Consider the following 13,107-nt stretch of genomic DNA (forward strand, 5'->3'; position numbering starts at 1 on the left):
TTCCTCGGATTGTGCCTTCATTTCATTCATTCACTTATGTATGTATTTATTTATTTAGAGATGGGATCTATTTCTGTATTTATTTATTTATTGATTGATTGATGGAGTATTGCTCTGTTGCCCAGGCTGGAGTATAGTGGCACAATCATAGCTCACTGCAGCCTTGAACTCCTGGGCTTAAGTGATGCTCCTGCATCAGCCTCCTGAGTAGCTGGGACTGCAGGTGTTTGCCACCATGCCCCGCTAATTTTTAAGTTTTTTTTTGTATTGATTGGGTTTCCCTATGTTTCCCATGCTGGCCTTTAACTTTTCAGCTCAGCGATCTTCTGCCCTGGCCTCCCAAAGTGCTGGGATTACAGGTGTGTCCCTTCATTTCTAATGAAGGAAGGTTTTCCTTTGAATATCTCACAACAGATATTTTTAAAAGAAAGGCAGATTTGAGCAACCATCAACAAGGTTTACTTGAAAATTAATCTGATATTTACAAGTGCATTATATAACAGAAATGTTACAGACTGAATTGTGCCACACCTACCCCAAAACTCTTATGTTGAAATCCTAACACCCAGTACCTGGAATGTGATTGTATTTGGAGATGGGTCATTAAGGAGTAAATTAAAGTAAAATGAGGTCACATGGGTGGGCCCTAATCCAATAGGACTGGTGTCCTTATAAGAAGAGGAGATGAGGACACAGATACACGCAGAGAGATGACCCTGTGAGGATACAGGGAGAAGACACCATCTACAAGCCCAGGAGAGAGGCCTCAGGAGGCACCATCCCTGCTGACACCTTGATCTCAGACCTCTAGCTTCTAGAACTGTAAGAACAATTGTTGCTGTTTAAGCATTCCCATATGTGGGACTTTGTTATGGCTGCCTGAGCAGCCTAATGGGAGTGCAAAGACTTTCTTTAAATAATGTATAACAATGTTGGTTTGGAAATGACTATCCAGTGTTGAGTTCAAAACTTTATCTTTATGGGTGCTGCTATGAGTGAGTGTCTAATTTGGGGGATAATATTGACATTCTTCGGGAGAAATGCAGACTCCAATCAGTGCAGAAAATGGCACAGAATAATGTTTAAATATGCCCTCCAGGCCATAACATGGTTGGGTTAGGAGGAGGAATATTAACCATTCCCATCCTAAAACACAGAATTTTGGGTTTCTTTCTGTGAGTTCACCACCTCTGACCTTCACAGGTAAGGGACCATCACACAGACATCTGCCATTTTCATATAACTCTCTATCCAAACAAAGGCTGAAAATTCAGCATGGAGAAACTCTCCCAGCACCCGTGGTCATCCCCTTGACCTGCATCCCCACCCTGGGCACTGGTGTGGGGGTGGGATTCTTTATGAACTTGGGCCCCAATTCTGCTTTCCCTGGAAAGCTGGACCCACACAACATCACCCTCATATGCAGACCCTCATGTGTGGGCACCTGTGAATACCCAGAGCTGGGGGTCTGCTCTAGGAGCTGGTTCAGGACAGGATACTCCCATCCAATCTGTGCCCACCATAGAAAAGAGCCAGCCAAGTGCCTGCTACTACAGGGCTCTTCACACATGGAAAAGCTGCCCTGTGGAAGTGTCCCAGGAAAGGGCAGGGGGACAAAAAAAGGTCGCAGTGATTTGCCTCCAGACACTGGACACTCTTCCCTGGAGAGTACAGGGCATGCTGCTCTCCAAACCTGATCTTGCTACATTTGTGCTGCCCACAGTAGTGGTGCCACTGAGTTTTCAAAGAAGACAGCAGGCCCTGAATTGTGCAAGGAAAATAAGTGCTTGAATTTTGTAGCATGCATGCAGTGTTCTACTTTTAAGAATGGTACCAGGCTCCTCTGATATTCAAGAAAGGCCCCCAACAGCTCAGATGGTAGTTTTCTAATCCTGTCTTCCCATATGCACATTTACCTCCTCCACCCAAGAACTGAATAACAGACATGAGTGCTCAGGACGTCATGCTGTCTACTGTCATCCCCTTCCTGAGACCCCCTCTCCAAATCTCTTGACAACCCTCTTCTTAGCTCCCTCTTTCTTTCTGGCCTGTTACACTCAACCTCTCCAGCATCCTAACAAGTACCCACTCAAACCTATTTCCTCCCCTGCTGTGCTGCTTCTTCAAAAGTGCTTTGCTTCTCATCCTCACCTTCTTTCCTTGCCCTCTTCCCTGCTTCCCTCTTCAAAGCACTTCTCAGCTACAAATGAGAAGGAAGCGATCTGATTAAACAGGTGATGAGCAGAGTCACATTCTGAGGGGATTTGCATTTTTAAAAGGAGATTAATGACCACATCTGAAAATGCCACCCTGGAATCTTATGCAGAGTGACAGGGGATTGGGGATGAGCTCCATTCAGGGCAGGAAGTGAGAGTTTGGATCTGAAGTGCTTTTCAGATGCTGAAGTCATAGGAGGTTGCAGTTGCTTCCTGGGTGGAGCCATAAACAAACATCTCTTCTGCTGAGTGAAGTCTGAGAAGATAGAGGCAATGGTGACCCAGGAGCTCTGGAATTATCTGGCTGTGTTACACTTGCAGGACTACACACATTTAAGTGTAAAAAGCATGCTTTTTGTCCACTTGGCTGACCTCTTAGCCTGCTCTCCTCTTATTGTTCCCTTGAAGGCATCATTTTTTAAAGAGAAATTTAAACTCCGTCCATCTCATCCCCTTTGGAAGAAAGTTAAGATTCCTTTCTGAGCTCTTTCATCATCTGGAGTTTAAAAGCTTCCCCTCCTCTGTCAACTCTCTTTGAATCCCTCATGTCACACCAAACTTCAAAAGAGACAAATAATTTTGCATGACTCCCTGCAGGCTCCATTTTGCCCTGTAGTGACAGCCCCATGTCTTGACTTTCCTGATTGGAAAAACTTCTCAAGCTTTCTACATTCATGATCTCTGCTTCTTCAGTGCAACCTTCTCCAGTTTGTCCCTGATGTCCAATGGTCCCTGCATTAATCCTGTCCAAGCCACAGGTGACCCTCATATCATCTCAGCTTCTACTTCCCATTCCTCTCTCTCTCTTTTTTTTTTTCTGAGACAGGGGTGTCACTCTGTTGCCCAGGTTGATCTCAAACTGTTGAGCTCTAAAGATCCTCCGGCCTCATCTTCCTGAGTAGCTGGTAGGGGTGTGAGCCCTTCTGCTTGGTCTCCAGTCCTTTGCTTTTCTTTTTTGACCTATACAACATTTGGTAGTTGATGTCCATGTTCATGTAATTGTCTTCTCTGGCTTCTTGGGGCCACAGTGCATTGCCTTCTCCCTCTTTTCATTTATTATCTTTTCATCTAGTAAGACCCATCATCCCCTAAAGATGTATATTTTCTTCAAAGCAAGGATTGGCGTACCTTCACAAACTGAGTCTCCAATGACAACATAAACTGAAATGCAATATAAATCATGGACAGATGTGAGCTCATCTTCTGCTTCCTGTGTCCTCCGCTGGTTCTTCTTACCAACATCATGTATTGTTAAATAAGCGAGTGATATTAAGTTAGAGAATGGACTGAGTCCATTAATTCATTTGGCACGCTCCAAAGTCCTCACCTGAGATCTATCTACTCTCCAAATTACACTTGTTAGAAATACAGGAGGGGCCGGGCGCGGTGGCTCACGCCTGTAATCCCAGCACTTTGGGAGGCCGAGGCGGGCGGATCACGAGGTCAGGAGATCGAGACCATCCCGGCTAAAACGGTGAAACCCCGTCTCTACTAAAAATACAAAAAATTAGCCGGGCGTAGTGGCGGGCGCCTGTAGTCCCAGCTACTTGGGAGGCTGAGGCAGGAGAATGGCGTGAACCCGGGAGGCGGAGCTTGCAGTGAGCCGAGATCCCGCCACTGCACTCCAGCCTGGGCGACAGAGCGAGACTCCGTCTCAAAAAAAAAAAAAAAAAAAAAAAAAGAAATACAGGAGGATCCTTTTCACATGAGCTAATTAGGGTGAATACATGTAAGTGTTGGTAAGAAGTACTAGAAACACTGGAATTTGTGAGATTTCACTGAAGAACCAGCTTCCACCCAGTCCTTCACATTGTTCTCTTTTGGTAGTTTCTTGTCATTTCCTCCTTTTATTATCAATAGAGCTGCTGTGAACATGCATGTACAAGTTTCTGGGTGGACATATGTTTTCATTTTTATTGGGGGGGGTAGACATCAAAGAATAGAATTGCTGTGTTGTATGATGAGTCTGTGTTCTAACATTTCAGAAGCTGGACTTCAACTGCTTCCTGATTTCACCTTCCACACCATTTCTGTAGTGAGGCCCACTCCTTGGCCTTATAAGACCTGAATTAAGTTAGGTGCCCAGAGCCGTTCTGTCATCGACTCTGTTCTTTCCCTTGCTAGCCTGTGTAATAATTGGCAATCAGACCTTTACATGAGCAATGGTTTCATATGTCTCCCCAACTATATTACAAGTTCCACAGGGGCAGGGCTATGTCTATCTCCTTGACCTCTGTATCTGCGATGCCTGGCAGAGGGCTATGAACACTGGTTACGCTCCATAAACACTGGGAGACAAAGAAGGGTGTCAGTAGAGTTAGTTTTTTTGCTTTTTTACCCCCAGAACTCTTAGAAAATAATTTGAGCTATTCCTTCAAGGAAGTCCTGGGGCAGGTGATCATTCATAGATGACATGAGGGAGTGCACAGCACATGAGTTTGCAGGAAAATGCAAACCCCACGTTGAAATTTGATCCCCAATGTTGGAGATGAGGATTTACAGGGGGGTGTTTGGGTCATGGGGGCGGATCCCTCACGAATGGCTTGGTGCTGCCCTCATGGTAATGAGTGCGTTCTCTTTTCAGTCCTGCAAGAGCTGATTGTTAGAAAGAGCCTGGCACCTTCCTCTCCTCTTTCTCTTGCTTCTTCTCTCACCATGTCATCTGTGCACACAGCAGCTCCACTTCCCATTCCACCATGAGTGGAAGCTCCCTGAGGCCTCACCAGAAGCATATGCTGGTGCAATGCTTCTTGTATAGCCTGCAGAACTGTGAGCCAAATAAACCTCTTTTCTTTATAAATTATCCAGCCTCACTCAGGTATTCCTTTATAGCAATGCAAAACTGACTGAGACAGGGTATCAGGAGACCTAGCTTTGCCTGAATCTGAGAACTTCATCAGGACTTTTGGAACAATTTAGCCCACAGGTCCAAGGCTGATTTTTGTCACAGTGAAGTTCAGGTAGTAAGAATTCTCACTGGTGGCTGTTGAGGATGGTGGTGGTGGGGATGGGTCATATGGAGAATTAGCAGTGGGAGACTAGAAATTAAAGTGGAGAAAGGGAAGAATTAAAAGTCAAAAACAGTGTGAGGGAGGAAAGCAATGGATATAACACCTCAAATCTTTATCCTTGAGAGGCCTTAAAAAATCTACTTAATAATAATCAGATGCTATTCTATAAGTACTTTGAGACTAGACATGTGATGACTTTTAGGAACCTGTACTGTGGCTGAAAATGCATGCAAATCTAGTTGACTCAGATCCAGTCTTAACTGGCTCATAACTTGCTTCATATGCATGACTGTACGTTAGCAAGGAAATGAGAGAGAATAACAGCACATCACATAGGCATGAAAAGTATTTGCAAAGCAGCAGTTCTCAAAAATGACATTTTGCAGTGTTTTCCAGAAGCAGATTCAGAAAACTGAAGACCAAAGTAATGATGGAGCCGTCTCATGCCTAGATGAGCAGAAGCATACCAAAGGCTTAGTATTTCCCCAAGTAGTAGGCACCTCAAACTTATTTAAGGAAAATACTCTTCTTGATGAAACAGATACTGCAGTCGAAGCAGGAATGTGTTTGGTGTGCTGCCTTAAATAGCATGGGTAGATGTTCAAACATGTTAGGACTCGCTGGCCCTAGGAAAGACCCGCAAGTAGATACTTTCCACACCAGGAAAGTGACAATGAAACACCAAACACCTTTTCTCCTCTAATTACCAAGGAAAATATTTCTTTCCCAATGGTGGAAGACAATAATGTTGGGAATGATGAAGTTTTCTGGAGTGTGAAGTGGATATGTCTTATAAGTTTAATCCACAGATTCACCACTTCATAAGTGGATAATCGAATTGTGCCTCAGTTTCCTCAGACTTGGGGATATTAAGAGAACCCTCAGTCACCACAAGGTGGGTACCAGCATAAGAAAAGAGTGTAGCAAAAGCCCAGGGGTGCATGTTCTTAAAGTGCCTAGTGTGGGATTAGAATGACAAGTGGTAGATGACCTACTTGTGCAGAAATTTAGAGTTATTTTGTGATTTTCAAATGATCATGGGTGCTTTCCATATGCTGTCCAGACTAGGGGTGCTGCAGCTAGAAAGGGAAGAAGGTTTCCATATTTCCTGAGATTGGAGTCACATCCTCTCACCAATGCACTCACCTGCTGACTAACCAGTGTACTTCTGGGAATTGCAAATGCATGAAATGGCACCCATTCTAGACTAGTCGCGGCAGTGTTGGTGATGGCCACAGACCAGGAACGACCTTGACGTTTATCCGTAGGGAACTGGGTCATGAGCCATGATCCACATCATGGATACTGTGCAGCTGTGGCAATGAATGAGGTATCCTTCTGTCTGTGCACCGGGAAAGGTTTCCAAGATACACTGCACAGTGAGAAAAACAAGAAGCAGAACAATGCACGGTGTGCTACCTCTTGCATTACAAAGGAGGAAATGTAAAATTAATTTACAAATGGCCAATAAACACATGAAAAGATGCTCAACATCACTAATCATTAGGAAAATAAAAATCACAACTACAGTGGGATACCACCTTACATCCTTTACGATGGTTGTTCCCAATAAAAAAAAAAAAAGGAAAACAGAAAAGAAAAGTGTTGGCGAGGAGGAATTGGAATGCTTGTGTAGTGTTTGTGGGTTTGTAATATGGCACAACAACTGTGGTCATTTCTCAAAAAATTAATCATAGACTTACCACAAGATGCAGCAATTCGGCTTCTGGTGTATTCCAAAAAGAACGGAAAGCAGGGGCCCCAGCAGATATTTGCATGTCTTTGTTCATAGCAGCATTATTCACAATAGCTAAAAGTTGGAAACAAGCCCAGTGTCCATCCATCCATGAATGAATAAACAAAAAGTGGTCTATGCGTACAAACAAATGGGATTCAGCTGTAACAAGAAGGGTGATTCTGATGTGTGCTTCAACATGATTAAGCCTTGAGTTCTTTCTGCTAAGTGAAATAATCAGACTCAAAAAGACAACTACTACATGATTCCACTTAACAGAGGTGCGTAACGTCATGAAATGCATAGGCAGAAAATGAAAAGGTGGTTGTCAGCGGCTGGAGGGAGGGGGAAAGAGGAGTTGGTGTTTAATGGGTACAGAATTCCAGTTGGGGAATATGAAAAAGTTCTGGGTGGGGATGGACAGTGGTGGTGGTTGAACAACAACCTAAATGTACTTCCTGCCACTGGATGTACACTTAAAAGTGGTTAAAATGGGCCGAGCGAGGTGGCTTGCGTCTAATCCCAGCACTTTGGGAGGTCGAGGTGGGCAGATCATGAGGTCAGGAGATTGAGACCATCCTGGCTAACATGATGAAATCTCCGCTCTACTAAAAATACAAAAAATTAGCTGGGCATGGTGGCATGCACCTGTAGTCCCAGCTACTCAGGAGGCTGAAGCAGGAGAAGTGGTTGAACCCGGGAGGTGAAGTTTGCAGTGAGCTGAGATCATGCCATTGCATTCCAGCCTGGGTGACAGAAGAGGAACCCTTCTCAAAAAAAAAAAAAAAAAAGACAGAAAAAAAAGAAAGGAAAAAAATGGTTAAAATGGTGAATTCTATGTTATATATATTTCACAATAATTTACAATAATTCCTATTGTTTTGCATAAAACAGCTGTAGAAAGCTTTGCAGGTCATGAACAGCACAGCTGGCCACTGGGGCTGGCGTGGGGCTAGGACCTGGGTGCATAGGGAACAGGGATGAGACACAGGCTCTTCATGCCTGCACACATATACAGATACACACAGATGGAAATTACTGAGCCATCTAAATACAACACCTATTCAAAAAATCAAACAGAAAAAGGAAATGTAATGGGGCTGAAGGATGAGGGTAGGTGGGGTGGCTGCTCAGGAGGACTGTGGAGGCCACATCGCCTAACCTTCGAGGCCTCTCTTAGCAGCTGGAGTGCATCCCGGGGACTTGGGAGCTCTGGAAAGAGGAGCAGGAAAGGGCCATGGCCGGAGGAGGCCTGAAAAAGATCATCTCTGCCACAGAGAAGAAGCTGGCTCGGATGCTGCTGGCCCCTATGGAGACAGGGAGACCCGGGGAGACAACTGTATTCATTCAAGGAGGAATGGGTGGTGATGCAAACTTGGGTGGAGGCCACAGGGTGCAGAAGACAGGACACAGCAGAGAGAGATGTAGGACATGGAAGGGACAGAAAGGAGTGACCACAGGACATAAAGGGGCAAGGAAAGTGGAAGCATGATAACATCTGCTGGGCATCCGGCTGAGGGGTTGGGTGCCTAGGGTGCCCTTCCCTAAGGGAGAACCCCAGGAGCAGATTCAGAGAAAACCGCCCAGCTCACTCCAGCAAGAATCAGAAAAGGACCGGTTAAAGGAGAGGGTAGGAAGGTCACCAAGCTCCAAGGGCCCTCATGAATCCGGCTTGGAGGCCACAGGGCCCAGGGCAAGGACAAACCACAGGCACAGGACAGCTCCGGTCAAGATCTTCTGGCTACTGCAGGAGGCAGAAACCACACCCTGCACCCTGCACTGCTGAGGCTGGCGCTGGAGTCCAGAAGCTTCTACACCAGAAGCTTCGGTCCCCCATCCCTGCTCAAAAAATTAAAACAAAAACAATAACAAATCGGTGTCATGCACCCTCTGCTTCCTGGTGCTGTTCGGGACCCTGAGTCTTTCACGGGAGCACCTGATGGGGAAAGCCTGGACCCGTGTCGGTGTCCCTCCTGCAAGGAGTGCTGGGAAAATGAACTTTCCAGCTTCCTCCTTGCGAAGGCAGAACATTCCCCATGTGTACTGGTGGCATTTAAAAACTGCAGGGCAGCCAGAGAACATGGACTGTGTTCCACCGGGAGAGTTCCTGGCGGGATGTCCCGGTGCAGAAGCCCGTCCCAAGGTGGGTATTTGAGCTGAGGAACTGAGAAGCCGGTTTCTGCCTAGAGTTAGAGATCCGAGAGGCATCAGCACATGGAAGGGAGGGAATCTACGATGCCTCGAGGGTGGGAGATCAGATGAACCAGGAGAGGCAGGGCCCGGGAGGAACCCCGGGGAGCAGCCTCCTTTAAAGCCTGGGGGAAGTAGCTTCAGAGAAGGTGGGGTAGGTTGGGTGGGGGTTGCTGGAAAAATATAATTAAGAAACAAATTTCTGCTCAGCCCAGAAACCCCCCTCACATCCATAGAAGTAAAAGAAACTTGTCTTATGATTGAGTAAGCATTAAGCCAAAATGTGATGCAATCTGCTAAGAGATGACAAAGACAGAAAGAAATCCCACCTTTGTATCCAGCCAAGCAGGTGCAACCCGTTACACACATGGTCTCCAGATAGATGGTGACTAGTTCCCAGTTGAGAGGACTCAACGGCACCATTTGTCACACGTAGTTCATCCTAAATTCACCCAGTAACTGTGTTGATTCTCTGTGTGGTTAATTGGCTTTATCCACAGGAAAAAGAAACCTCTCATCTATGACAGGAGGTAGTTTTGCAACTGGGAGTGAGATGCCCCCAGAACTGAGGTTCCTTCCTTCTCACAGAAACTGGGAGACAGGGGTGCTTTCTGCCCGGATGCCTGCCTTTCAAAGAGAGGTCTCCTATGGCCTTGAGGAGGAGAATTCTGGGTTGTGAGGCAGGCAAGATACTTATGTATGCTTTAGAAAGCTTTGCATACATCTTCAAGGGATAGAGAAAGAGTTTTCAATTACACCTCTTCTAAAAAAAATGATCTCAAAGTCCAGCCTAGGCAACACAGCAAGATCCTATCTCCACACACACAACAATAATAATAAATTTGCTGGACATGGTGGGGTGTGCGTGTAGTCCCAGCTACTCAGGAGGCTAAGGAGGGAGGATCACCTGAGCCCAGGATGTTAAGGCTGCAGTAAGCTTAGATGGCAGCACTGCACTCCAGCCTGGGTGACAGAGTGAGACTCTGTCAATGAATGAATGAATGAATAAATGAATGAATAGAAAATGCTCTGAGTGAAAAGAGGAGAGTCTCTTTATCTTTTTGCAACAGGCTAAACAAAGTTTTTAAAAATGTATATTTGCCTCACAGAGATTATTCCAGGAAAAGAAGTGGCCCTCAGTGTCAAAGGATGCAAAACTAACCTCTGAGTTCCTGGCAGGTTTAGCAATAAAGGAGGATGTTGCTGATCTCAGTACAAGCAATGTTAGAGAAAGGGGAAGATGGAAGTGGACAAGGACGAGTGAGTGGAAGGTGACAAATGGAAGCAAAGAAACGTATCCAGACCATTGAAGATGCTTGAGCGAGAAGAAAGAGGCGGTGGAGGGAATGGAAGCCCGAGGAAGTCATATGTTGCAATAAGGGGCCTCAGAGCACGTGTAGAGTGTGGAGCAGAGCCCTTGCAGAGGGGCTGTGGAAGGCTGGCAGGGTGCAGGTGGCCCCACTCTCCGTCACCCTGAGGAGTGTGTGGTCAGAGTTAAAGCTCAGTCTGTTTCTGGGATCAGGTAAGAGGTGAGCGTCCGGAGAAGACAGGCGGATCTTCAGATCCTGCAGACCTCCACCGTGCCCTCTGTCCCTCTCGACTGCTTTTTCTCCATCTCCATTGTCTGGCTCACATTGGTGTCACTTTTTCATTTCTCCCTGCCCGTCTTTTCTCTTTTCTCCTCTCTTTTTCTTAACCCTTGTACCTTTGGAAGTCCCACTAACAGAATTTAAACAGCTTTTCAAGTTGGTTTTTTGTTCCCAGAAATTGATTTTAGACTCTCCATGAATAATGTGGAAATCAAATGAGTATAAGCTGGTTCATCTCTCTGCAAATAAACAAATAAAATCTACATTCCAATGTTTCTTCTTCCAGAGTAGCCCGCACTTGATTTTTTTTTTAATTACTGTCACTTGCAATAGATTTTTAATTCCTGTAACCTGGCTACACAAATACCATGGGGCAAAAGCCTTACTTCCTGTGAGAGGAAACCAGGCTTGACTAGCCTCATGCTGGCTTTGAAGAAGTAAAATCAGGGGTTGATGAATTTGCATAGGGTAAATATCAAAGGTCAAAAGTAAACAATAGGTGGTAGAGGGAATACCCCAAATTATAAAAGAACAAACTGTTTAAGCCACAACAGAATTATCGTAGAAATAAACCACGGTCCTTCCTGCTAAAATATTCCACTTAGAATTGTAAAATATTCTTCTCAATAACTCCTGGAAGAGCCTACTCATAAATTAATGAGGCTGGGAGCAGTGGCTCACACCTCTAATTCCAGCACTTTGGGAGGCCTAGACGGGCAGATCGCTTGAGGTTAGGAGTTTGAGACCAGCCTGGCCAATATGGTGAAACCCCGTCTCTACTAAAAATACAAAAATTACCCAGGCATCGTGGCAGGCACCTGTAATCCCAGCTACTTGGGAGGCTGAGGCAGGAGAATCGCTTGAACCCAGGAGGTGGAGGTTGCAGTGAGCCAAGATGGCACCACTGCACTCCATCCTGGATGACAGAGTGAAACTCCATCTCAACCAAAAAAAAAAAAAAAAAGAAATTAATGAATGTAAGAGCATCTATGTTCCAAATGCAGTGTATTATTTTATGCAGGCTTTCACAAGCTCCAAAAGATTCACCGTGCAGAACTGGACGTTCTAGAGAAAGACCACGCCTCCTCCTGCAGGTAACTCTTCATTCAGGAAGCAGCTCTTGGCTTATCCCTGGGCTTAGTGGAATTGGAATACCTGACCATAGGACACCAAGGGCTTTAGGACCTGAGTGGCACATCGTGTCCTGGTGACATCTGAGTTACCTGGGGCGTGCACAGCAGCCTCCAGCATCCCAGGGAGAGCTGTGTATGGGGTCAGGCTCAAGCAGGTCCCAGGGCACCAGTGACCCAATGGGTGAATCAGACTCCCGTGGCACCTGCTCCTTCTGTATCTCCCTCTGCCATATATATGAGCTCATGGGAAGCACTGTAACCTCTTACAGAGGAGGAAAGTTCATGGACTTCTAGCTTCTAGAACTGTGATACAATAAACTCCTGTTGCTTATCTACTCCTCTGCAGTATTTTGTCATGGCAGCCCTAGCAAACTACTACAGGGACTGTGGGGGTTAGGATGACACCAAGCATCAAATGCCACTCCCTGTTCCATTATTATGTAATGTCCCTCTTTGTCTTTTTTAACTGCTGTTGCTTTAAAGTTAGTTTTTTTGATATAAGAATAGTTACTCCTGCTCACTTTTGTGGCCATTTGCATGGGGTGTCTTTTTCTACCCTTTTACCTTAAGTTCATGTGACACTTTATGGTTAGGGGAGTCTCTTGAGGGCAGCAGATACTTGCTTGGTGAACTATTATCAATTCTGCAATTCTGTGTCTTTTAAGTGGAGCATTTAGGCCACTTACATTCAATGTTAGTATTGAGATGTGAGGTACTGTTCCATTCATCCTGCTATTTGTTGCCTGAATACCTTGGTTTTATTCATTTATTTATTGTATTTGTGTTTTATACGTCCTGTGAGATTCATGCTCAAAGAGGTTCTGTTTTGATGTGTATCCAGGACTTGCTTCAAGATTTGGAGCTCCTTTTAGCAGTTATTGTAGTGCTGGCTTGGTAGTGGCAAATTCTCTGAGCATTTGTTTGTCTGAAAAAGACTGTTATCTTTCCTTTATTTATGAACTTTAGTTTTGCTGGATACAAAATTCTTGGCTGATAATTTTTTTTTTTTTTTTCTGAGATGGAGTCTTGTTCCGTCACCCAGGCTGGAGTGCAGTGGTGCGATCTGGGCTCATTGCAACCTTCGCCTCCTGGATTCACGCCATTCTCCTGCCTCAGCCTCCCGAGTAGCTGGGACTACAGGCGCCTGCCACCAGGCCCGGCTAATTTTTTTTGTATTTTTAGTAGAGACAGGGTTTCACCATGTTAGCCAGGATGGTCTTGATCTCCTGACCT

General features: G+C 45.3%; 1 long non-coding RNA gene across 1 annotated transcript; it reads left to right on the forward strand.

The window, feature by feature from the left end:
* The first annotated feature begins 7,192 nt into the window (after positions 1–7,192).
* Positions 7,193–12,208, forward strand: PSG8-AS1 (PSG8 antisense RNA 1). Its single transcript, NR_036584.1, has 4 exons — positions 7,193–7,243; positions 8,143–9,105; positions 10,262–10,674; positions 11,763–12,208. It is a non-coding gene; the product is annotated as a PSG8 antisense RNA 1 (long non-coding RNA).
* Positions 12,209–13,107: the final 899 nt, after the last annotated feature.

The sequence above is a fragment of the Homo sapiens genome, chromosome 19, assembly GCF_000001405.40.
Source record: "Homo sapiens chromosome 19, GRCh38.p14 Primary Assembly".
NCBI classification, from domain to species: Eukaryota; Metazoa; Chordata; class Mammalia; order Primates; family Hominidae; genus Homo; species Homo sapiens.